General features: G+C 65.6%; 1 protein-coding gene across 4 annotated transcripts in view, besides 7 other annotated features; it reads left to right on the top strand.

Moving 5' to 3' along the window:
• GPSM1 (G protein signaling modulator 1) overlaps positions 1-23,860 on the top strand; it is a 32,063-nt gene that overhangs the window by 4,826 nt on the left and 3,377 nt on the right. The window contains exons 2-12 of one of the 4 annotated variants that reach the window (NM_001145638.3): positions 2,083-2,304; positions 3,602-3,737; positions 4,557-4,708; positions 5,077-5,200; positions 5,482-5,597; positions 6,191-6,346; positions 7,343-7,451; positions 8,506-8,629; positions 16,333-16,403; positions 17,223-17,399; positions 23,326-23,482. In NM_001145638.3, the coding sequence (NP_001139110.2) occupies positions 2,083-2,304; positions 3,602-3,737; positions 4,557-4,708; positions 5,077-5,200; positions 5,482-5,597; positions 6,191-6,346; positions 7,343-7,451; positions 8,506-8,629; positions 16,333-16,403; positions 17,223-17,399; positions 23,326-23,482 (1,544 nt within the window). Of the gene's footprint in view, positions 1-2,082; positions 2,305-3,601; positions 3,738-4,556; positions 4,709-5,076; positions 5,201-5,481; positions 5,598-6,190; positions 6,347-7,342; positions 7,452-8,505; positions 9,475-16,332; positions 16,404-17,222; positions 17,400-20,671; positions 20,792-22,417; positions 22,659-23,325; positions 23,483-23,860 lie in introns of those variants that run through there. The other 3 variants (NM_015597.6, NM_001145639.2, NM_001200003.2) reach the window with 3 other exon arrangements.
• Positions 453-1,085: an enhancer, noted in NCBI's record as "H3K4me1 hESC enhancer chr9:139227274-139227906 (GRCh37/hg19 assembly coordinates)". NCBI's record gives its function as "activates a minimal SCP1, AML or CMV promoter by ChIP-STARR-seq in naive H9 embryonic stem cells {active_cell/tissue: H9 hESC(naive)}" and the evidence as "EXISTENCE:reporter gene assay evidence [ECO:0000049][PMID:30033119]".
• Positions 7,073-7,122: an enhancer, noted in NCBI's record as "active region_29305". NCBI's record gives its function as "activates an Ori minimal core promoter by ATAC-STARR-seq in GM12878 lymphoblastoid cells {active_cell/tissue: GM12878}" and the evidence as "EXISTENCE:reporter gene assay evidence [ECO:0000049][PMID:35858748]".
• Positions 10,473-11,254: an enhancer, noted in NCBI's record as "H3K27ac-H3K4me1 hESC enhancer chr9:139237289-139238070 (GRCh37/hg19 assembly coordinates)". NCBI's record gives its function as "activates a minimal SCP1, AML or CMV promoter by ChIP-STARR-seq in naive H9 embryonic stem cells {active_cell/tissue: H9 hESC(naive)}" and the evidence as "EXISTENCE:reporter gene assay evidence [ECO:0000049][PMID:30033119]".
• Positions 11,255-12,036: an enhancer, noted in NCBI's record as "H3K27ac-H3K4me1 hESC enhancer chr9:139238071-139238852 (GRCh37/hg19 assembly coordinates)". NCBI's record gives its function as "activates a minimal SCP1, AML or CMV promoter by ChIP-STARR-seq in primed H9 embryonic stem cells {active_cell/tissue: H9 hESC(primed)}" and the evidence as "EXISTENCE:reporter gene assay evidence [ECO:0000049][PMID:30033119]".
• Positions 12,570-13,223: an enhancer, noted in NCBI's record as "H3K27ac-H3K4me1 hESC enhancer chr9:139239387-139240040 (GRCh37/hg19 assembly coordinates)". NCBI's record gives its function as "activates a minimal SCP1, AML or CMV promoter by ChIP-STARR-seq in naive H9 embryonic stem cells {active_cell/tissue: H9 hESC(naive)}" and the evidence as "EXISTENCE:reporter gene assay evidence [ECO:0000049][PMID:30033119]".
• Positions 13,224-13,877: an enhancer, noted in NCBI's record as "H3K27ac-H3K4me1 hESC enhancer chr9:139240041-139240694 (GRCh37/hg19 assembly coordinates)". NCBI's record gives its function as "activates a minimal SCP1, AML or CMV promoter by ChIP-STARR-seq in naive H9 embryonic stem cells {active_cell/tissue: H9 hESC(naive)}" and the evidence as "EXISTENCE:reporter gene assay evidence [ECO:0000049][PMID:30033119]".
• Positions 20,353-20,647: an enhancer, noted in NCBI's record as "tiled region #3186; HepG2 Activating DNase matched - State 8:EnhW". NCBI's record gives its function as "activates a minimal TATA promoter and a strong SV40 promoter by Sharpr-MPRA in HepG2 cells {active_cell/tissue: HepG2}" and the evidence as "EXISTENCE:reporter gene assay evidence [ECO:0000049][PMID:27701403]".

Raw genomic sequence — 23,860 nt, forward strand, 5'->3', positions numbered from 1 at the left:
GCCCTTCCCAGGCCAGAAGCCTCCTTCGCCTTGAGCCTCGGATGCCACGTCTCCGGCTGGAAGGGAGGCGGGAGGTGGCTCCCATCATCAGATCTGCGGAGCAGCAGCGTCTGGGCTCCACAGACACCCAGGCCTCAGGCCTGAAGCCCCTCTCCTCCGATGTTGCCTGGAAGGAGGGGGCAGTAAACCGAGTGAGACCACTTGAAAAGTGGCTGGGTGGGGCAAGTGGGCCTTAATCAGGAAGCCCCGTGCGTGGCGCTGGCTGCAGGATGGGGCTTGGCTGGTTGTCATGGCGACGGTGGGCTCCTGTGACCCACGTGGCATCCGGATGGCCATTCCCAGAGGGATGGGTGAGGTGGCTGTGAGGTGCCTGGCAGGTAGTGGGTGGGAGGGCCTGGCCCTGAGGTGAGAGGATCACTTGAGCTCAGGAGTTTGAGACCAGCCTGGGCAACATAGTGAGACCCCCATCTCTACCAAAAAAAAAAAAAAAAAAAAAAAGCTGGGCATGATGGTGCAAACCTGAAGTCCCAGATACTTGGGAGGCTGAGGTAGGAGGATGGCTTGATCCTGGGAGATGGAGGCTGTAGTGAGCCGAGATCGCACCACTGCACTCCAGCCTGGGCAACAGAGCAAGACCGTGTCTCTATAAAAATAATAATGGTAACATAAGTTTTAAAAATGAAAAATGAAAGCAACAGAAAGCAAACAGGAATGATGGGGCCGGCCTGCAAGCAGCCGAGGCTGAACCCTTCCCCCACTTCTCTGAAATCAGGTCCCTCCTGGGCTCCAGCTGTGCCTGCCACCTCCTGGGGCCCCCCAAGCTGCGCCCTTGCTGAGTCTTTTGTGGCTCTCCGGGGGCACCCTGCAGATGGGGGCCCGCCTGCTCACACTGGCCACCCCATGGCATCTGCTGGGTGTGTCCTCCCCCCGCGACCCTCCACCCAGGGCAGCGCAGCAGCCTGAGGCCCATGTGACCTGTAAGAGTAGGATGGAGGAGGACACCAGGCCCCAGAGCAGGCAGCAGGGAGGTGCGGAGCCGGGCAGCCACGGAGTGACCCCACACTCCTCCCCGGCAGCTGAGTGCCAAGGGCAGCTCCCCAAGGCCCAGGGTGGGGGTCCCTCGGTGAGCAGGGCTAGGGTGGCAGCTGACGCACAGGGTGCTTGGGGGTTGTGCAGGGCCCAGGGTGAGGGGTTTCTTCTCTAAAGTCCCTGCCCGAAGGTGGGGGACCACGGCCAAGCAGGGCGTTGGTGTTCAGAAGAGGGCCTGGCCCTTGGGGTTAGGTGGCGCTCACACGGCGGAGTTCACCTTGGGATGGGGCGCCATCCACATCTTCCCACAGCAGCGCTGGGGGTGGCGGGCAGCACCTGGGAACAGCGGGTTCTCAGGCCTGTCCTGGCTGGCAGCGGCGAGCGCTTAGCTCTGTGGGTGGGGGACCAGGAGGAGAGGGGCTGGGACTGGCTAACCCGCAGCCACACCTCCGCAGCACTGGTCTCCCCTGGAGACTTGGAGGCTGACTGAATCCCCAGGCCCTGGCTGGGAGAGCTTGGGGGTGGGGGAGGAGCCGAGATCAGATCCCCACCCCACCCGACCCCCATGTGGCCTTCACAAGCCCCCACTACCGTCTGGGAGCCTCAGTTGTTCTTGGTGGGAATTAGGGGGGCCTCTCCCAGCAGCTGTGGTCGCTCAGGAGGATGGCTAGGGTGCCTGGCCCCTGCAGCCCGTACCTCTGGGATTTGGGTGAAGGCAGGGTATGGGGGCCACACCCCCTGCAACACCGGCCCCTGGGCCTGAGGGTCTTGCCGGGGTCACAAACTCACACCTTTGCCCCAGTGGCGTTCCTGACCTTGGCCGCACAAGGGGTGGACAGGAGGTGCTGGCAGAGGTGTGCTGGCTGGGGCGCCCTTGGGCCGCACACGTGCTTCCAGGCCTGTATCCCAAAGAGACACTTAGGTCTGTGAGCACAGATGTGGTGTGTGCCCTAGCCCACCCAGGGGCGTCGTCTGTAGTGAAGCCACGGAGGTGCTCCGGCCCCGGGGCGACTTTGCCAGGGCTGGGCCATGACGCCAAGTTCCTCTGCACAGGATGGAGGCGTCCTGCCTAGAGCTGGCGCTGGAGGGCGAGCGTCTGTGCAAGGCGGGCGACTTCAAGACAGGCGTGGCCTTCTTTGAGGCTGCTGTGCAGGTGGGCACCGAGGACCTGAAGACACTGAGTGCCATCTACAGCCAGCTGGGCAACGCCTACTTCTACCTGAAGGAGCACGGCCGGGCGCTGGAATACCACAAGCATGACCTCCTGCTGGCGCGGTGAGTGGGGACGGTCCTGCTGGCGGGTGAGTGGGGCGGCCCTGCTGGCGCGGTGAGTGGGGACGGCCCTGCTGGTGGGTGAGTGGGGCGGCCCTGCTGGCGCGGTGAGTGGGGACAGCCCTGCTGGTGGGTGAGTGGGGATGGCCCTGCTGGCGGGTGAGTGGGGACGGCCCTGCTGGAGCAGTGAGTGGGGCGGCCCTGCTGGCGGGTGAGTGGGGGTGGCCCTGCTGGCAGGTGGACGCTTCCTGTCCTCAGCAGTTACAGTTTGAGGAGGGGGACAGGGCAAGCAGGGTCTAAGGGAACGCAGTGGGGAAGCCCTCACCTGGAGGGCAGCCAGGGCTCTGGGACCCCGGCAGGGAGCTGGGTTTCAGCTGACAGGCGTGAGTGGGTCTGTGTGTCTGCGTGTGAGAGCCTGGGCTGTGACCCGCGTGCTGTGCGTGAGCACTCGTGACTGTGTGTGGCCCATCTGTGATCCTGTGTGGCTCAGAGCCCCACCCTTTCCCTGGCCCCAGGCCCCAGGCCCTGAGCCCCGGGCCCACTCCCAGCCACTGCTCAGTGAGGTGTGGTCCTGCCCTGGGGGCTGTCCCTGCTTTCCCATGGACCCCAAGCTCCCACTCACAGCCTCCTTCCTGCCTGGCGTCATCCACTCCCCAGTCTCCCCAACCTACTCCCCGCCGCCCCTTGGGGTCTTGGGGTCTCCAGTCGGGTCCAGCCCCCAGGCCGTGCCTCACGGGAGCACGCTTCCCTTGCCTCAGCCCTGCCCAGCGCCCTCCCCCTCAGCCCTGCAGCTGCCCTGACCTCTCAGCAGGGCAGAGCTTCTTGGAGCAACCCTCCCGCACTGGCCAGTGAGCTCACACCTGCTCCTCAGCACCCAGCTCAGTGTCTGGTGGGCATGCACCAAACGTCCTCTGAATGAGTTAGCAGGAAGTTAGTTCTCCACCATCAGGCCCCCCAAGTCCTCCCCGGATCCTAAGAGCTGCAGACCCCAGCCCCCTGCCCCAGGCCCAGGCGTGAGGTCCTGTGTGTAGCTCCTGGCACCTGTGTGCAGCCTGTGTGGTGATGGGCAGGAGCCTGTGCCCCAGACACAGCCCAGCAGAGCCCATACCCAGGGCTGCCCTCGGGCCTCACTTGCCCGGCCTGTGGGCCCCTGCCCAGTATCACCTCAGGGGTTGCAGGCTCCTGTCCACTCCATGCTGGTCCCTGAGGCCCAGCTACCCCACCCCATGCTCAGCCTCCCCCCGGGCCCAGAGGCCTGACCAGTCCTCAGCCTGACCCCTCACTCCTCCCTGCCATCCAGGACCATCGGTGACCGCATGGGGGAGGCCAAGGCCAGTGGAAACCTGGGAAACACACTCAAGGTCCTGGGGCGCTTCGACGAGGCTGCCGTCTGCTGCCAGCGGCATCTGAGCATCGCCCAAGAGCAGGGAGACAAGGTGGGGGCTTGGTCCGGGGCTGGGTGTCTCCCACCCCTGCACCGGCCTGCGTCCAGATCCGGGATAGGGGCGGGCGGGTGACTCACCACTCATCCAGCTCCTCATGGGAGGGATGACAGGGAGGTCGGTCCCCTAGATCCCGAGTGACTCAGGAGAGTGTGGGCCCCCAAAACAGGCCCCCCCAGCCCATGCTGACACTGCAGCCCAGGCCCCCACCTTCCACCCTCAGTTCTGCCGCCCCTCTCGGTGACCTCCCCCCGAATCCCTCCACACCCCCAGTCACTCACTCCCTGGGGGGCCCAGCGGGAGGCAGGGGGTGGCTCTGGGCTGCGGCAGTGGGAGGCCGATTTCAATGGCGGTGGTGACAGCAGGAAGAGTGGCTCCGTCTCCGCTTGTGCTGGACCCGAGACAGGCTTTGCTGACCTCCCTCCATGGCCCTGTGAGGCGAGAAAACCAAGGCTGGGGGGACGTGACTTACCCCCCGTCACACAGCTGGAGGTGACCAAGGGGGCTTGAGGCCGCAGCATCTGGTCCCAGCTGGAGCTTTCAGCCTCGGTCATCAGAGGACAGAGCTGAGGACCTGGCACCCTGGCCACGCCAATCCGCAGAGGAGGGAGGGATGGTGAGGGAGGGCGGAGGCTGGCTTCCCGGGTGTGCCGTCCTCAGGCTTCCGCCCCTGCCTTAGTGTCTGTGACTCAGTGGGAGCCCCCAAGGCCCTCGCTGTCGAGGGCTGGGACAGTGAGGACACCGGTGTGCCGGCTCTGCACATCGTGTGGGGGGCCGTGGAGGCATGCCCCCAACCCTCCGTACTGCCCACAGGTTGGGGAGGCGAGGGCCCTCTACAACATCGGGAACGTGTACCACGCCAAAGGCAAGCAACTGTCCTGGAACGCCGCAAACGCCACGCAGGACCCCGGGCACCTGCCGCCCGATGTCCGAGAGACCCTGTGCAAGGCCTCCGAGTTCTACGAGTGAGTGGGGCAGGGCCAGCCCAGGGACCGGGGCTGGCCTGTGCGTTTCTGAGCTCCACAGACACTTCCAGACCCCCGACCCCAGCCCCATACCTCCCGACAGCTCCCAGGGCAGTGACGGCCAGGTCCGCCCACCCCCGCTTTCTCAGCTGCTGGCTCCCTCCCCTGAGCTTGCCCCTGTCAGGGACTTGGGGGACATGACCAAGCCCCAGGTCTCAGAGCTCGAGGACCCTGGAGCCTACCCTAGCCACCCTCTTTCCAGGGCATGGCCCTGAGGCCGCATGGAGGCCGCTACTCAGCTCTTCTAGCCTGGGGTGGGTGAGGACATGGGCTGGGAGGGACACGGCTCAGAGGCACTCGGCCCCCAGGAGGAACCTGTCCCTGGTGAAGGAGCTGGGCGACCGTGCGGCGCAGGGCAGGGCCTACGGCAACCTGGGCAACACCCACTATTTGTTGGGGAACTTCACAGAGGCCACGACCTTCCACAAGGAGGTGAGCCGGGCAGGGTGACAGGGTGGAGGGGCCGGGCTGCTGCAGGGGCAGGGCTGAGCCACCCTCTTGGCGGTCCCTGAAAGGGCAGGGTGGTATGGCCAGGCAGCAGGCCCGCCCCACCGAGTCCTGGCCTCATCTGCACTTGGTCCTGCAGCTGCTAGCTGCTCACCCGGACACACAGATCTCTGGCCGGCCACCTGGGCAGGGAGGCAGCCCCTGTCCGCCCACGTCAGGCCCCGGGGCTGCGCCATGACCACCTGGCCTCCGGTGTGTCTCCGCAGCGCCTGGCCATTGCTAAGGAGTTTGGAGACAAGGCAGCCGAGAGGAGGGCCTACAGCAACCTGGGGAACGCCCACGTCTTCCTGGGGCGCTTTGACGTGGCCGCCGAGTACTACAAGTAGGTGGTCCCCACAATCTCCCAGGGAGACAGCAGGCCGGGGGGGCTGGATGCCAGGCCAAGGAAGTGCCCGCCCCAAGCTGGGAATCTGACTGCCTCCCCTCCCCTCCCCAGAAGGCAAGGTGGGGTTCTAGGCTGCCCCGGGAAGGGCAGACGGACAAAGCTCATGGGGAGGCAGGCGGTGGGGGAGCCGGCCTATGGGAGGTCTGGGCCATCTGCCTCCTGGCCTGAGCCACAGAGCAGCGCCTGCCGGGTGGAGCCCGGCTGTCAGCACGGGGTCCTGTGCCCAGCCCTAAACTTAACCCCATCTCAGCCTGAGCAGTGGGCACAGCAGTCTCAGGTCCTCCGGGGAGGAGTGGTGGCGGCTCAGGGTGGTCAGGCAACTTGCCAGAGCCTGGCAGGACCCCCCGTCCCCCTGGGGCCAACAGTCCCGCTCTGTGGCCATGTGAGGGTGGGGATGAAGCTGGACCCCAGAGAGGCCCCAGTGGGATTCCGGGGCAGGGGACCATCGGGCAGACTGCGTCCCCATTCTTACCTTCCACCCCTCACCCTGGAGCCCTCCTCCTGGGGGCTGACCCTGCCACTCTGCACAGGAAGACGCTGCAACTGTCTCGGCAGCTCAGGGACCAGGCAGTGGAGGCGCAGGCCTGCTACAGTCTGGGCAACACCTACACGCTGCTGCAGGACTACGAGCGCGCGGCCGAGTACCACCTGCGGCACCTGCTCATTGCCCAGGAGCTGGCCGACAGGTGCGTGGGCGCGGACGCGGCGGGCAGACCCGGCCCGGCCCACAGGCTGAATTACCGCGGCCCAGGCGAGGTGGCCTGGGTCCCATCCCCTGCTCTGCCACTGACCATGCTGTGACCCAGGAGTGGCAACGCCACTGTGGGGACTGAGCCAGACAGTGTGGACATTGGGCCGGCCACTGACCCCTGGCACAAGCGGGTGGGGTCCCCCTCCCATCCCTCAATTCGCCACCCTGTTGCCCCCACCACCCATGTATGTATGTAAATATCACTCTCTGGAGAGAGACAGGCTGGCAAACCACAGGCCCCTAAGTACTGTCTTGTGTGCAGGTCTGGGGTGGGTGGTGGCCGGAACAAGGGGCTCAGAGCCACAGGCCTGTGGCCTTTCACAGGCAGCAGAGAGGAGAGGTCTTTTGAAAGGCTGCCCTGCCTGGAGGCTTAAAAGTGGCCCAAGGTTTTCCTTTGTGGCGTGGTGAGGAGAATGTTCTGGAATAGACAGAGGTGCCGGTTGCACAGCATGAATGTACAAAATGCCAGTGGATCGTCCACGTGAAAATGATCAAATTCCTGTTAGACGCATTTCCCTCCAATATAAAAACAACCCCCTCACCCAGTGACTTGGAGGGTGCCCGTAAGGGTGGAGGGAGTGCAAGGGAGGAGGCTTGCCGGCCGCCAGGGGGCGAGCGAGGCCAAGGGCCCAGAAACTGCCCGCAAAGGCAGAGCCGGCCACAGGCCAGGTTGCTTGGACTCTGCGCTAATCCTTTTAATGGGAAGAAAAAAGGCAGAGCTGATTGGGGCTTATGCTTGAAGGTGGCAGAATTTGTGGGAGGTCCAGCTGGGGGCATTATCCTGTCATCCGGCCAATGCCCCTTGGGCCTGGGGGCCCCTGATGACCCTCGAAGCCAGGGTCATGCTGGGGCCGTGACCACCAGGGGAGGGGCTGGGGCTGGGGGCTGGCCTGGAGAGGGCGGGTATGAATCTGGTCTCCCTCTCTGGCAGAGTGGGCGAGGGCCGGGCGTGCTGGAGCCTGGGAAATGCCTACGTGTCCATGGGGCGCCCAGCGCAGGCCCTGACCTTCGCCAAGAAGCACCTGCAGATCTCCCAGGAGGTGAGCCAGGCCTGCCCCCAGAAGTCCCGGGCACTGCCCAGCCCACTCCAGACGGGCCGGGTCCCCTCTGCCCCGAGCGAGCGTGTGCGTGCCTGGGCCCCCCTCATCCTTTCAGGGCCATTGCAGCTGCCTGGTCCTTCCGAGGCCTGGTGATGACATGTCTACCATGCCCGGGGGTTTTTCCTGCAGCCCCCAGCTGGTGCCTTCCTGGGCAGCTGCGTCTCCTCCTCCTTGGAGAGTTTGCACAGGGTCTCTGTGGGCTCCGCCCATCAGCGCCCTCCTACTGTGGTCAGGGCGGAACATCACAGATGAACTGTGGGCCTCCCGGCTCCCGGCCTGTCCTTACATCACCCACTCCCACGCCACCTCCCTCTGCACACCCCGAGCCTGTTCATGCTAAAGACGGTGCCAGCCCCTACTGACCACCATAGACCCATGTAGGAGGTGGCCGGGTGGGGAGGCCTGCAGGTGCCCAGGTGAGGGTGGAGAGGGGCGGGCATGGGAAGGTCAGCAGAGCCCTCGTCTGAAGAGCTTCACTGGCAGCCAGCAGGCAGCCCCCGTGTCCCTCTGAGTGCAGGCTACAGCCTCCAGGGCCTTCCAGGGCTCCATGTGGCCCTCCCCCCAACCCCATGCCACCTCTCTTCTGCTTGACTTAAGCAAACAGTTAGTTCCTGAGTGATGTGGATGTTCCCGGGAGGGTCCCCCACAGAGCCTCGGCGCACAAGGCAGGGGCTGAGAGAGGTGCAGCCGGGCGGGGCCGGGCCCCTCGCGCACCGGAGGGCACAGGCCCAACCGCCTGGGACCCCAAGCATCTCTGGGGTGAACTAGGGGCTGTTGAGGACCTGTGGGGCCACCTCACCCAGGGACAGACCCCCAGACTCCACCTCCGGGTCCACAGTGAGTCCTGGTTCCCTCAGAGGCCCAGGGGTCAGTGACCAGTTCAGGTCACTCAGAAGGTCAGGGACGGGTGTACTGGGGGCCATTAAGGTCCCCTTGGAGCCCACAGCAGGGCCCCCAGCCACACCTGCCCGCTCCGCCACCCCACTCGCCGCAGATCGGGGACCGCCATGGGGAGCTCACGGCCCGCATGAACGTGGCGCAGCTGCAGCTGGTGCTCGGCCGCCTGACCAGCCCGGCAGCCTCAGAGAAGCCTGACCTGGCCGGCTATGAGGCCCAGGGTGAGTTCCAGGGTTGTGGGGGGGTCTTGCTCCCCACAGGCACGGACCGCATCAGGAGCTGCGGAGGGGTGGGATCGAGGCCAGGCCAGCATGGCGGAGGTGGCAGCCGCCAGAAAATGGCGCCTACAAGCCAGTTCTTCTTGGCCTCAGGGACAGCACAGGCCTGAGGTTCACCCTGAGCCCTTCCCACCCGCATCCTGAGTGGCGCTGCAGGGCTGCTGGATGAAGGACAGGAGGTGGTCGCCTGTTGCCCCACTGGCTGCTCCAGGGCCTCCACCCCCACCTCCCCCTGGAGCCCTCGGTGCAGGGAGGGCTTCTGTCCTCAGACCCAAGTAGGAGAGGGCTGCTGGGAGGCGAGAGGGCATCAGCCAGAGGGCTGGGCTGGGCTGGGCTGGGCTGGGCTGTGGGAGCCCTATGTGCCTGGGGCAGTAATCAGGCAAGGCCCAAGGCCATGCGAGGCCACCGTGGTGACCTCATTCATGGACCGCTGGTCGTCCCATGCCGGTCAGCAGTGCTGCAGACACAGGACAGAACGTCCCCTGCAAAGCGAAAAGACTAATAGGTGCCAGGGGGGTGGTGCCAGGTTGGGCCGACTTCCTGAGGTGGCTGGCAGGTGGGTGAGGGGCAGGCTTGGGGGGAGCAGCTGCCCCACCCATGTGTCCCCCACTCCCAAAGGTCTTGAGTTTGCCAGCCCCCGAGAAGGGATGCCTGCCTCCCAGAACGTACCTGGTGCCCCCCAGGCCTGCTAAGGACCAGGCTGGGAACACCAGGCTTGGATGTGGTGCTGGGCTGCCGGAGTTTCTTTTTCTTATCTTATTTTTAATAATTAAATGTTTTTATAGAGATAGGGCCTCACTATGTTGCCCAGGCCAGTGTCAAACTCCCAGCCTCAAGCGATCCTCCCATCTCGGCTTCCAGAAGTGCTGGGATTATAGGCGTGAGCCACCGTGCCCAGCCATCCCCTGGGTTTTTGTGCCACAGTGCTCATGGGTTTCTGACGATGACCTCTCCTGGGAAATTGGGGGTGCATGTCAGCCACCGCAGAGGCTGAAGACAGAGGAAGGAGCAGAGGCTCTGGGGCCCTCAGCGAGTCCGTGGGACAAGGTGCTGTGACCGATGGCAGTGGGTGGGTAGGGGATGGGCTGGAATGTGCCCCCCAGGATGTCCAGGCCTATTTCTACCCATGGCCGGGGTTTCCTAAGGGTGGGGAGCTCTGCCGAGAGCTCCTGCGGCACCCCTAGTACCCTCCTGTGTCCCTGGCTCGGCACTGCCACCATCTGGGACCCCAGCAGCAACTGGCAGCAGGGCTGGGAGCAGCTCTGGAAAGGCTCCGCGGAGGCTGCGGCTCTGGGTCCTCCCGACGTTTTCTTTCTTGGAGCCAAGGAAAAGGGGGGCCGGAGTGGGAGGACGCTGGAACAATGCAGCTTCTGTCCCTCTCTGGCTCCTCTGTGCCGCCCCGAGTGCGGGACCCCTTCCAGCCGGCCGGACGCCTCCTCCCCCAGGGCTGGGGAAGGGTCCTCCTCCCCGCCCAGGGCAGCCCGGCAGCCTGGCTGGGGCCGCCGCCCGGCTGCCGCTGTGGGAGGCAGGCTGCACACCTAGAGCCTGGGCGGCCCTGGGTGAGACCCCGGCTCAGCTGAGCCTGGCAGGGACAGGGCCTTGAGGCCGGGAGTCTGGACCCGGCGTTGCGGGTTGGGGGCGCCACGGAAGGACCCACGCAGCCTCCCCATTCGGCAGGTGCGGAGGGCGGGGTGGATCTGCGAGCTGCGGGAGGGGAGGGGGGTGCAGAGCCGCGCTAGAGCCTGGCCGTGCGGAGGGGGCGCCAGGGCTGGGGGCACAGGAGGGCGCTGCCCAGCGGGGTGTGGGCAGGGAGGAGGAAGTCGTCTGGAGGTGGGGCTTCAGCCCGGCGGGGACGCGGTGGGGCGTGGCCTTGCTGTTGTGGGCGTGGTCCATGGGGGCGGTGGGCGTGGCAGAGGCTGGTGGGTTTGGTGTCCCGTTGATAAACACAAGGAGACTTACGTGCGGCTGGAGGACAAAGAGCCTTGGCGCGGCTCAGTCAGCGTATTAATCTCACCGCCCTCTGCTGGCCCCTCCCCAGCCAGCAGAGAAGCCCCAGAAGTGTGTCTGGGGGTCACCACCCTGCCAGCCACTGCCCTTGTCCAGCTCCTCTGGGTGTGTGGCCTCTATGAGACCCTGACAGCAACCAGCCCCCACCTCCCTGGCCAGAGGGCACAGGCCCGGGCCTCCCACACTTGCTCCTGGGCTGCCCACCCCCCACCCCAGCAAGGGTGCCAGGCAGGACGGAGGCTCTGCTGCCACTCTTGGTGCGGGCAGCATGATTGGCATGTTGGGAGGAGGGAGCCGGCCCTGAGCCCTGCAGGACCGCCCCCTGCCCTTGGCCTGTCCCCGATGGCCCTGCCTGTCCCACAGGATGTGCGACTGCCCTCGGCCCTGCTGACCGTACTTCTCAGCCCTCCACCGTCTGGGCCCTGCTCAGGGCGTTGTGAGCACGGTACACAAGAGTTACTGGGGGAGCATGCCACCAGCCTTCCTGGGAGAAGTCCCCTGAACGTCCCAACGAGTGGCCTTGGGGTCAGGGATGTGCATGGCATAACCTCCCCTGCAGTTTAGGCTGTGGGCTCCAGCCCTGGCCAGCTGATCAAGTGACTTGACCCACTTGTGCCTCAGTGTCCCCATCTGGGGAACGGGCCCATCAGTAGTGCTGGGAACAGAGCTTGGCAGGGGTGAGAGGCCAGCGAGCCTGAGGGCCCGTAAGCCTGTTGCGTTCGGGCCCTGGGTGGACGAGGCAGGTGTGGCTGCAGCACCATCCGCCTGTTCCAGCAGCCCAGTGGCCCTTGGGCAGCCGCCGGGATGGAGGATGCACCCTCTGTCCGTGCGCCTAAGAGGGCCCAGAGGGGACAGTGTGTGGGAAATGGCACACAGGGTCCCGCACGCAGCAGATACACAGTAAATGCCTGCTGCTTGGTCACCAGGCTCCTGCCGTGTGCCAGGCACTGCTGGGGCCCTCACTGGCACCAAGACCGCTGAGCCGCGTCCAGCAGCTGATAGGTGAGGAACGGGGAGCCCAGGAGTGAGCCACATGGGATGAGCTTTGGGAGAAAGAAAAGCCCAACAGGGAGGTGCGGACAGGAACGGGGGAGGTGCGGACAGGATCGGGGGGAGGCGCGGACAGGAGCGGGGGGAGGCGCGGACAGGAGCGGGGTGGGGGCGCGGACAGAAGCGGGGTGGGGCGCAGACAGGAGCAGGGGAGGCGCGGACAGGAACAGGGGAAGCAGGCTGCAGCACCTTTGGGAGATGACCATCATGGTCCATTCCGACTGCCCTCACAAAGCACCGCAGGCCGGGGCAGCAACAGCAGACGTTTACTCCTCACGGCTCTGGAGGCCAGAAGGCCAGGGTTTGGGTGCTGTGTGCTCGGGTGCTGGCGAGAGCCTCTTCCGGGCTGGCAGACGGCGCTTTCTTGTTGTGTCCTCACCTAGCAGAGACAGCGAGGAAGAAGGGGGAGCTTGAGAACACTGGTGGCTTCTCTTAAGGCCACTTGTCATTATGGGGCTCCATTCTCATGACCTCATGTAAACCTCAGGACCTCCTAACACCATCCCATGGGGAGTTAGGGCTTTGATCATGATGCTCCAGCAAAGACTGGAAGTCAGAGAGAAGTGAGCCGCAAGCTTAGACGGAGGAACAGCAGTCTGGGCAGAGATAACAGCCTGTGCAAAGGGCCTGAGGCAGGGGCCAGCCTGGTAGGTGAAGGGACAGGGAGACTGTCTGGAGCTGACGGAGCAAGGCGAGGGCCTTGGCCGAAGAAGGGAGGGCCTCGTGGGCCCTTGTGTGAGACCCCCTCCCCAATGGGGCGGGGCCCTCAGGACCCAGCAGAGAAGGGGCAAGGCCTAGGCCAGCCCTTACCAACCCCATGGTCCTTGCATGGAGAGGGGACTTAGGGGCAAGGCTGGGGCAGCAGGCAGGTGAGGGGCAGGTGATCCGGCTCCAGGGAGGTGAGGAGGGGTGGGACTCTGGATCTGCAGTGAGGCGGGGACAGACTGGATTTCAGACCAGAGGTGGGCGTGAAGGAACCGTGGGCAGCTGAAAATCGGGGTTGCTGAGGTCTGAGCCAAGCCGGCGGGGCGGGTGCTGCCCTGAGGGGTCCGGCAGGCACAGGGGGCACCAAGATGCTCGATGGGCTTGAGTTGGCCATTGCACATAAACGTCTGGAGCTGGGTGAGGACAGAAATGATGATGACAGTGTGACGGTCAGCGTCGGGTGGCCATGGGGCGGTGCTGGGAGAAGTTTCCAAACGTTGCCCTCGCAGGCGGGAGAGACAGGAAGCCAAGCCAGTGGGCCGGGCCTGTCTGGGCAGCTCAGCCAAGGGCGCTGGACTCACACTCAACGCCTCAGCCGACTCTGCAGACAGAGGGTGCATTGAGCCAGGCGCAGCGGGCCTTCCGCCCACCGTCCGTGCCTGGCCATGAGGGCGCCCGCCCTGGGGCCAGACGCAGGCTGTGTCTCAGAAGAGCATTTCAGCCGCTGCTGCAGCCAGGGCCCATCCATGCGGTGTCCTGGTGGAGGGCCAGGCCTGGCAGAAGCAGCTGTGCCGGGCCCAGGACCCGGAGGATGCGGTGGGGAAACCAACTTAGGCCCCCATGGCACTGGGGGCGGCAGAGGGAGAGCCAGGCCCTCAGGCAGTGCACACCGGGAGACGGAGCGGGGCTCTCGCTGGGTGTGGTAAGTGAAGGGCCCGCCCCAGCACAGACGTGCTCCTCTGTCATTTCCATGGTGTGGGGAGCAGGCCCCGAACTGTGTGGGGTCAGCAGCTGTCCTCAGAGCTACCTTGCTCATCTGGGTGGGGGTGGGCAGCTGGTGGCCCTTCAGAGAACAGGCCGTCGACCCCAGCCCCGTTCTGTCCCTTCAAGCTGCACCACCCGAGGCTGGGGCGGCTCCACCTCAGTGCCTGGCCGGATCCTGAATGTGCCGGAGCTAACCCTGATCCCGCTGACCACTGTGGCCACAGGGTGGCGATGGGAGCCCTGCCCCGGGCGTTTGTGTTGGGAGTGGGAGGAGCAGTGGACGGCCCCAGGTCCCAGTGTCCTGCTCAGGCCCCTGATGGGCCCCACGTGTGCCTCTGGCCGCACAGGTTTCCATCCCAGGCCCCTGGAGAGCAGGAGCTTAGGGTGTGTCCTCGGAGCCCAGAGGCCAGGCCAGGGAAGCGCACAGCCCACACTCAGCCAGTTCCCGGTCCCTGCCCAGCTCTCATGAAGCTGTAGGCATTCGCCGTGGGCTGGTCTGGGGCCAGCGGGCTGGAGGCGGAAGACCAGCCTGGGCCCCCAAGTCCTCAGCTCCCTCTGCTCCTGTCCCCTTCCCCCCAGCTGCGTTTAGGAGCTCACCATTTAAACGGGTCACATGGACAGACTCAGGAAGGGGCTGCTAGCAGCCAGGCCGATCCAGGGGCTCCCCTCTGCCCCATAGGTAGCACCTTGCTGTCCACCAGGTGCCTTCTTAGCCGTCTGAAGCCCCCAGTGCATCCTCATCACTGCCATTCACTAGGTGGCAGCAGGACCCCCTTCCCAGTTGGGGGTGGAGGCTTGGACTCCATTTGGTGGCACAATGCTCAGACAGCAGCCCCCCAGCAAGACCCAGGCCTGTTCTCATCCGCAGCATGGGCCTGTAAGGGAGACCCTGAGAGACCCTGACACTCGGGCCCATTTCCTCCCTCCCTCATGGTCGGGGCCAGGCTCATATTTAAATCAGGGCCCTGCTGAGGCTGGGGTCAGGGGGATGTTGGCTGAGTGACAGCTGTGCAGGTGAGGCTGGGAGGGGCTGTGTGTGGGGCCCAGTGCCTGAAATGACCGAGTGACTGCCCGCCTGAGCCGGCTCTCTCCCTCTGTGGATGTTGTGTTCCCCGGCAGGGCCCAGAACCCAGGGCTAACGGTGGGGTCCGGGTGCACCTGAGGCCCCGGCACCCTGCCTGGCCATTCATGCTGCTAACTTTGACGAGTGCCCCAACCCTGGTGGCTGTGCTCCCTGATGCAGTGGGGCCTGGACAGGGTAAGGGGGTGTCTGGGCCTGCCCCCCGACATCTGCCTGATGCAGGCAGCCACCAAGCAGCTTCACTTTAGGAGCTGAGCCTCTCGGGGGGATGAGTGCGGAGGGGAACTGCCCGGCCCGGCCCATCCATGCCGGCGCAGTCTGATGAGGAGGGCGCTGAGCTCCGAGGCGTAGTAATGGGGCCAAGTCTGATGGTCTGGAGGTGCCAGGACTGGATTCTCAGAGTGCCCACTGATGCCAGGGCTGGTTCTGGCCCCGCCCTCGGACTCACACTGGGTGTGCGCAGGGCTCCTGGGCACAGCCCGTGTCCAGTGTGTCCACGGGTGGAGGGACGCTTGGTTCCCAGGAAGACTGGGTAAGGGTGGGCATAGGGGGGTGGGAGCTGTGGGTGAGCAGGGAGGAGGATGAGGGTCCTCCCAGCTGCGAGAGTCTCCCTGGAGATGTGCCAGGCGTAGGGACAGCAGAGACAGGGTCCTCAGTGTCAGCCTCGTTCCGCCGTCGTCCCCTCTGCCTAGAACGTTCTGCTGCCCTTTCCACAGTGGCTGTGCCCCTGTCCGTCCCGCCGCCTCCTCAGGGAAGCGCCCGCAGACCCTGGCTCTCAGCCACAGCATCGGGCCCTTCCCACAGGGCTTCCTGCCTGGTTGAGGACATTCCCCACTTCCCGGATTCCATCCCATTTTTTCCGTTCGCCAACTGATTTCTGATCTGCCAGGTCTGTCGTGCCCTGGATACAGGCTCCTGAGAGTGCTCAGGGAGCGGCTGGGCTGAGGTAGGGCCCACTCTCCCAAACTCCCAAATCCTTTCGGGCCCCGCAGGGCTGAGCGACACCCGTCTCTGCCAGGGCTGTGTTGGGACAGGGCTGAGTGACACCCGTCTCTGCCAGGGCCGTGTTGGGACTGAGGCTTGAAGGTGGGCCTGGCTGTGGGGCTTCCCAGGGGCCCGGGACAGGCACTGGTGGCTCCGCTGAGTCTGCAGCTGGCCAGTGTTGGGTCAGGCAGCTGTGCCCCACCACCCCACTGCGGCTAGAGGGGATGGGGGTCCCTTGGGTGGAGACACGGCCAGTAGGGTGAGCCCCGGGCCAGGAGGGATGGACAGGAGCCCGGGGAAGGTCCCACGGCAGAGCTGGTCTGGGGGATTCATCTGAGGCCTTTGCGTCCCCGACCCTGGCCTGGGCTGCCCGCAGTGAGCTGGGAGTGGACCCACAGGCCCGCCCCACCTGCCTCCGGGGCACAGCATGATGCACCCTCAGGAGGGGGGATTGGGTGGCCTCACAGAGGTGACCAGGGGCCACAGGAAGGGTGATCCAGGCAGAGGGAACAGCAGGACTGACGGGGGAGGCCCTGTGTGCGGCAGGGGAGAGGCCTGTCCAGAGCCGGGCCCTTCCAGCACAGGGAGCCAAAGCCAGACCCCACCTGGCCCCAGCCAGGACGCGCTCTGTCTCGACACCTGTCCCCTTTGACTCTGACAGTACAGTCGGGGAGACGCAGAGGACACTCAGACATGGCGCTCGCCTCCACAAGGGGGGCTGGCTGTCAGAAAGCCATGGCCGGGCTGGTCCTTGGCCCCCCAGAGACTCTGGCCTGGCCCACCCAATGCGAGGTGCCAGGGTGGTGCTGGGCTGACCGGGTCCCTCTGTCTTCAGGGGCCAGACCCAAGAGGACGCAGAGGCTGAGCGCGGAGACCTGGGACCTGCTGAGACTCCCCCTGGAGCGGGTGAGCCAGGGACACGGGACCGATGTCAGCACAGCCGCTGCCAGAGCATGGGCAGCGGGGTTAATGAGGCAGAGCCACCGCCACCCACCTCAGCCCCTGTCTGCTGGGAGATAAATGTGCCCTCCTCGGCCTGATGCCCTGCATGGCCCATCTGCCACCTGCTCACCCATGTCCCTCAGCGTCTGGCCAGCTGTGCCCCAGGCGAGGCATGGTCCTCACACATTTCAGGCCCCCATACTCCACCCAGCTGCTATGCCACCACACCCTCGGGAGCCCACAGACAGGGGCACCCACTCCTGCCTGCTCCCTGCCCTCTCGGACTCTGACCCAAAGTGGGCACAGCTGCTGCAGGTGCAGACACTGGCTGGGGTTCAGCAGACCCACACAGACAGATTCGGGGGCTGCCTGGCGTAGGGCCCTGGGCTGGCCCTGTGCCTGTCGGCAGTGGGTGCTGTGTGGCCTGGGCCAGCAGCCTGATCTCTCTGAGCCTCTGGTTCCTCTGGTGTGGCCTGTGTTCAGTTGTGGATGGCCGTCAGGGTTCTGCTGTGGGGACGAGACCCAAGGACGCCCACAGTCACTGTCATTGCTGGTATAAGCCGGCTGACATTTGCGGGGGCCACTGGCCCTCAAACACCCCACCCTGCCTCTCCCGGCCCCAGCCAAGGGCCCACAGCCCCAGTCCTCTCCTCCTCTCTGGGTACTGGGCACCTACGGCGTGCATCCATGAAATGGAGGCGGCCTGGCCTTCCCTTCAGGGTCCTGGGATGGGGACATTGGTTCACAATTGCCCAGGCCACGCACAGCCTTACCCCTCCCCAGGAGCAGAATGGAGACAGCCACCATTCAGGGGACTGGCGGGGGCCCAGCAGGGACTCGCTACCCCTCCCCGTGAGGAGCAGGAAGTACCAGGAAGGCCCGGACGCTGAGAGGAGGCCCCGGGAGGGCAGCCACTCCCCGCTGGACAGCGCCGACGTCCGGGTGCACGTGCCACGCACGGTAGGCGTCTTTGACGGCAGATCCAGGCCGAGAGGGAGGAGAGCTTGGCAACTGCGCCCCAACTCCACTGCCAGCCAACGGGGCCAGGTCAGGCCCGGGCACTCCGGGGAGGCAGGGGTCCCTCCCCGGTGCACCTGGTGCAGTGCTGTCCTGGGACCCCGGTGGGGGCTCTGGGCAGGGCTCAGTGTTTAGCATTGTGGTCGCACCTGGCCTCAGAGGCCCCGGCCACCGAGGAGCCTCCTGGGGACTCTAGGCTGGGCTCTTCTGCATGGAACGCCCCGCCTCTCTTTGGGCCTCAGTTTCCATCTTGTTCACCAGTTGGGGGCTGGCTCTTCCCAGCCTTCAGGTGGCCTCTCTCTCTGACTCCAGCCCCCACCCTCCTTTGTTGGGACCCTCCAGACCCATCCGCTAGTCACAGGAGCGTGTCCCTGAAAGGAACTGGCTGCCTTCACTGTGAGAGCCGGGCTGCACAGATCCCCTGATGGGGTGCCCCTTCCTGAGGTGGCTCTTGGAGGCTCTGGCCAGTGAGGTCAAGCCTGTGTATCCTACCAGGGCCCTGGAGGGGTGGACGAGGCCAACACAGTCCCTGGGGGAATCCTGGGATCTCTGACACCTGGCGGGGGTCCCTGAGCAGAGGGGCCTGAGGGGCACCCAAGGGGTGGGTGGGAAGCCCCTAAGCCACACCCATGGTCAGGCCCTGGTGTGGAAGCACCTGCAGCTCCAGCTGGGCCAAGGTACTGGGGCCTCTCCTTGTGGGTGCAGGGGCCGGGGCAGGACCGATGGTGAGTGGGGTCATGGAGGGGATGCAGCTGGGTGGCCTGTGCATGGCTGCAGAGCCCCTGGTGAGGGGACAGCAAGGGGCTAGGTCCACTCAGGGTTCCTCCTGGTCAGGGGCTGGGAGGCCCCACCCTGCCCTACCCCACCTGGGCTCAAGGTCACGAGTGGAGCAGAGGGTCACAGCCCAGCAAGCAGCAGCAGCGCAGCCTGGGCGCCACCCGGGTCCTCAGGGCTAGCCAGGAGCCCCCCGCGTTGCTGTGGCACACAGAGGTGGCGGGAGGGGTGGGGCAGTTGCAGTGACTGCCAAGTGTATGGGTGGACGGACGGGGGACAGACAGACTGGTGGTCAGACTCGGGGTTGGTGGGGGGACAGGTGACAGGCCGGGCCTGTGCCTGGCAGGTGTCAGCTGTGCCAGGGCCACCCCAGCCACGGGAGAGCTGGTTGGTGTTCAGGGGCACCGATGGGCCGAGTCCGGGTTCGGAGGTCAGCCTGGAGCTCCCCCGAGCAGGACGGCTGGGTCCAAACCACTAGAAATAGTCTGAAATTGTTCTTCCGTGGGCACCAACCTGCAGAGGGGTGTGGGTGCTGGGCTGGGATTCGCAGCCCCCCGAGGCTGCCCAAGCCCATCCTTCCCACCAGCAGGGCACAGCCTACCTTCCCCTCATTCAGCCCCAGCACTGCCCAACCATCTGGGCTAGGTCCATCCGTCCACTGATGGGAGAGGTGTGGAGGGAAGGGCACCCAGGGAGCACCTGGTCAGGCCTTCCCGGGGGTCCCGGTGATCCCCCAGCCTCCCTGGGCCTGGAGGGAGGAGCAGGACTGGGACCCAGACACCTGCCCTGTCCACAGCTGGCCCTGCCCTGTCCACAGCTGGGTCTGCCCTGTCCACAGCTGGCTCTGCCCATCACATCTGGGCCGCCAAGGAAGGAGTGGGAGGCTGGCAGCATGTGTGGGACAGACCAGTCAGCCGGCCTCAGGGGCTGATGGCTTTCTAGAAAGCACAGCCTCTGAGGGCTTCCAGGCTTCACGTCACCCCAACAAACTGCCCTGGGTCTGGGCCAGCAGGGCAAGGGGACACAGTTCCAAGTGTCCAGCTGCCTGGCCCAGCACTCTGGAGGCCTTGGCCAGGGCCCCAGGGAGCCCCCACCTGCTGCGGGCCCTGCTCCCCTGGCCCCTGCAACCACCGCGGGGCAGGACGCCTGGGACAGCCAAGATCCTGGCCCCAGACAAACGGGGTTCCCAGGGTCTGTGAGGACGTGGCAGGGCCTCTTGGCTTTCTGCTGACCTGAACCCCACTGGCCTTACCGAGGTCAGAACCTTGGGTACCTCCGAGTAAGGACCGTCTGCACCCTGGTGGCAGCCTGTATGGGGACTGCAGCGAGGGTGGGTGGGGGATACATCCCTGGGGCGTCAGTGGCCGGGTGGGCCCCCTTCCCCCTCTGCTGGGGTCCTCAGGGAAGGGCTTTCAGCTCTCAGTTGGGGTCCTCATCTGCAAAGTGCAGCTGATACCAATACTGCGCCGTTGCTGTTGGTGACACCAATACTGCGCCGTTGCTGTTGGTGACACCAATGCTGCGCCGTTGCTGTTGGTGACACCAATGCTGCGCCGTTGCTGTTGGTGACACCAATGCTGCGCCGTTGCTGTTGGTGACACCGATGCTGCGCCGTTGCTGTTGGTGACACCGATGCTGCGCCGTTGCTGTTGGTGACACCGATGCTGCGCCGTTGCTGTTGGTGACACCGATGCTGCGCCGTTGCTGTTGGTGACACCGATGCTGCGCCGTTGCTGTTGGTGACCAACCAGCCCCTGCCCCTCCCCACCCTGTGCCCAGACAGTGCAGGGGCCTTGCAGCCAGCACATTCGGGGCTTTGGGATCTGAGGCGGTGTGGCTGGGTGTGGTCTGGGGGTCCAGAGAACTCATTCTGGGGTGGAGGGTAGGGGACAGGGCAGGGTTGGCCTCAGAGGCTGGAGACAGTGTAGGTCCAACCAGGAATGAGACAGAGAGGCAGCAACCAGAGGCTTGAGTTGAGCTGGCCGGGAGGCCCTTGAGCCAGGGCACTGGGGAGCCACCGAGGGCTGTGGGACAGGAAGGGCCGTCCCGGACAGAGGAGTCCAGATGAGGACAGCAACCCGCCCAGGTCCTCTGCGCCTGCCTCCGTAGTCAGGCTGAATAAAGAGGTGGCTTTCCCCACCTGGCCCAGCTCTGGAGGGAGGCCCAGGGGCCCAGGTGTCAGCGGGAAAAGGGCTCTTCGGCAGGCTGTCTGCCCACACAGCCCTCCAGTGTGCCCGCCCACAGGCACGGGGAGGGGGAGGTTCACTGCTGCACTTGCTGGGGGAGTGTTTACGGAGTGCGCCTGTGTGTGAGTGCGAGCCCACGTGCGTGTGTGTGAGCCTGTGTGTGTGCACGCACTCAAGTGAGCAGGGGCGGGCGCTAGGAGGGCCGAGCCCTTGCCCAGGGTCCTATTTAAGCCTCAGGCATCCCAGCATTGAGGCAGCACTTGGCACTTTGGGCAGGGCGGTGGTGGCCCTGGGCACCTTGTGTCCTGCCTGCGCTCTGTGTGGCCAAGCACCCAGCGTGGCTCCCTGCTGCTGTGGAGACAGCCTGTGATCCGCGTGAGTCTGGGGTCCCTGGGGTCCTAACAGGTGGAGGCTGAGGGAGCACACGGGCCTCTGTGAAGCCGGGTGGGGTGGTCTTGGGCCGGGTGCATTCCCCTCCTCCGCAGGAGAAACTGGGCTTGTGCCAAAGCAAGAGAGACTAGAGTCAGACTGCAGGAGGGACTCTGAGGCCTCCGGGAAGGAGGGAGCCAGGGCTTGGGGCAAGGGAGAGGTTAGAGCAGGGAGGCGGAACCCCGAGTCCCACTGGATATGTTCTACTGGGACATAAATGCAGGGGAAGGTGGCCTTGGGGCCCAGGGTCCTGCTTCTGAGGGGCTCCAGGAGCCCCAAACTATCCAGAGCCTTTCCCCGTACCAGGCACTGAGCCACGGTTTTGCACCTGCAGTCGTGGGCCCCTGCCCCCATGTGAGGGAGGCATCAGCCCCTCAACAGCTGGCCCCAGCCTCAGGGAAGGGGAGGGCTGCCCGACATAGGACCCTGAGAGGGGCTCTGCCATGGGGCCTGGGACATGGCCCCTGACGGGTCCTGCCTTTCCCAGGAGGGACCTTGCTCAGTCCACCTGGGCCCCGGGTCACCTGGGGGAGTCCAGATTGGGCCAGAGGCAGAGGCCCCCCGCGGCTGTGCCCTAGGTCATCATAGCCCAGGAGCCAGTTCCTTTTAGACCAGGAGGCCACATCCTCCTGGGGAGGTACCTGTGTGGCCCCAACTGGCACTCAGGCTGGCAACCCCAGTGCCACCCTCTGCCTGGACCTGCAGCTCCCAGAGCCCTGGCCCAAGTGGATGTGGCCCTCCCCACAGACTGGGCCAATTCTCCCCTCCCTCCTGGCTGGGGAATCCGGGGGAGTGGGGGTGTTGCCTTAGGCCTGAGCCAGGCTGCAGGAGGAGAGCCCTGCGGGGAGAAGGGGGTGCTAGAACTCTCCCTCCTCAGGTCTGCCTCAGGGACAGGAGGTACCTCAGGCTTCCGTGACAGCTGGGGACTGACTCCAGGGGCCAGAGCCAGGTGGGGTCTCTCCTAAAACAGGGCTGTCCACAGGGCCCTCGGCTCAGCTCAAGGGTCTGAATCCCAGCTCTTTTTTGCTCCAGCATGACCTTGGGTAGGTCACACATGTCTCTAGGCCCCACTCTCCTGTGCCCTGGGCCGAGTCCAGCAGAAAACTGGAAGCAGGACGGGAGCCCTAGTCCTGGGCTGTGGGGGTCAGGTGTCGGGAATTCCAGTTGTCTGTCAGACAGCTGTCCGTCTCCTGGGCTGTGGGGGTCAGGTATTGGGAATTCCAGGCAGCATCGGGGACCCGGGAGGTGCCATCTCCACCAACATTGCGTCTCTTGTTAACTCGTTCAGCTGTGAGCCCAGCATTTGCAGACCTGGAAGAGGCCACCAGCCGTGAGATGGACAGGCTGGGGCCGGGCAGGGGCTGCCAGCGCCGGTCGGGAGGTGGACGGGGCTTGGAACCATCACAAACACCCTTCAGCCCTGGGGCCCGGACCAGGCCCTGTGAGGCTGGGTCACGGGGTGGACCTGCTTCAGCTGGGCCCCTTGGGGGGCCACAGGAGACCACGCCCTCCAGCCTCCCTTGTTTGGGTGTGTGGACTGAGGCCCAGGGCGGGGTTCATTCCTTCGAGTTCATTCACACAGCAGACACCGGTGAGGGCTGTGTAGGGCATGGACACAGGGAGCTCATGGCAGGGCTGACACAGGGTGTGGTGGGCACAGGGACAGGAGGCACGGGAGGCTTCCCGGGATGTCTGGGAAGTGTTCCAGGCCAAGGCTGGGGAGGCTGGCCCAGGGCAGGTGACGGACAGAGGCCTGGACTGGGGTAGCACCCATGAGAGGGGAGAAGTCCGGGGCAGTCGGCGGGTGCCGAGGGTGAGTGACACGTCCTGGGGGAGGGGTAGCCGGGTGCCGAGGGTGGATGACACATCCTGGGAGAGGGGTAGCCGGGTGCCGAGGGTGGTGACACGTCCTGGGGTAGGGGTAGCCGGGTGCTGAGGGTGGGTGACACGTCCTGGGGGAGGGGTAGCCGGGTGCCGAGGGTGGGTGACACGTCCTGGGGGAGGGGTAGCCGGGTGCCGAGGGTGGGTGACACGTCCTGGGGGAGGGGTAGCCGGGTGCCGAGGGTGGGTGACACGTCCTGGGGGAGGGGTAGCCGGGTGCCGAGGGTGGGTGACACGTCCTGGGGGAGGGGTAGCCGGGTGCCGAGGGTGGGTGACACGTCCTGGGGGAGGGGTAGCCGGGTGCCGAGGGTGGGTGACACGTCCTGGGGGAGGGGTAGCCGGGTGCCGAGGGTGGGTGACACGTCCTGGGGGAGGGGTAGCCGGGTGCCGAGGGTGGGTGACACGTCCTGGGGGAGGGGTAGCCGGGTGCCGAGGGTGGGTGACACGTTCTGGGGGAGGGGTAGCCGACAGGGGGCAGGTTAGAGTCCCGATCTTGGCCAGGGTCTCAGAAGTGTGTGTGGCCTGGGCAAGCAGCCCCCGGTCTCGTCTGGGGGTCTGCGGGGCTAGCTTTGGCTGCGGTGACCCCACTCCCTCCCCAGAGCATCCCGAGGGCCCCGTCTTCGGACGAGGAGTGCTTCTTTGACCTGTTGACCAAGTTCCAGAGCAGCCGCATGGACGACCAGCGTTGTCCCCTGGACGATGGCCAGGCCGGGGCTGCCGAGGCCACGGCCGCCCCCACCCTGGAGGACAGGATCGGTGAGTGCCCCCCTCAGCCGGGCCCTCCCTTGGGCTTGTCTGCAGGGGCCAGGACCAGGGCTCCCGTCCTGCTTCCAGTGAGGAGTTTTCGGGGGCAGACCAGCAGGCCAGCTGCAGAGCACCCTGTCACTGAGGGCGCCCTCCGCAGCCCCCACAGAGCAGCATCCCGGGAAGCGTGTCATCAGCCCGCCCTCCGGGACACACTCAGGCTGCAGGGGCAGTCTCAGGGAGGGGGCAGGGCGTGGGGGACTGGCGTTCTCCTCCTGTCTCCTCCTGTCACCCCCTGGAAGCCCCTGAGGTGGGCGTGGGAGCCACAGCAGGGGGAGCAGCTGAGAGCTGCCTAGGCCGGTCAGCGGAGACTCCCCCAGGAGCCATGGC

This window comes from Homo sapiens, chromosome 9 (assembly GCF_000001405.40).
Source record: "Homo sapiens chromosome 9, GRCh38.p14 Primary Assembly".
NCBI lineage: Eukaryota > Metazoa > Chordata > Mammalia > Primates > Hominidae > Homo > Homo sapiens.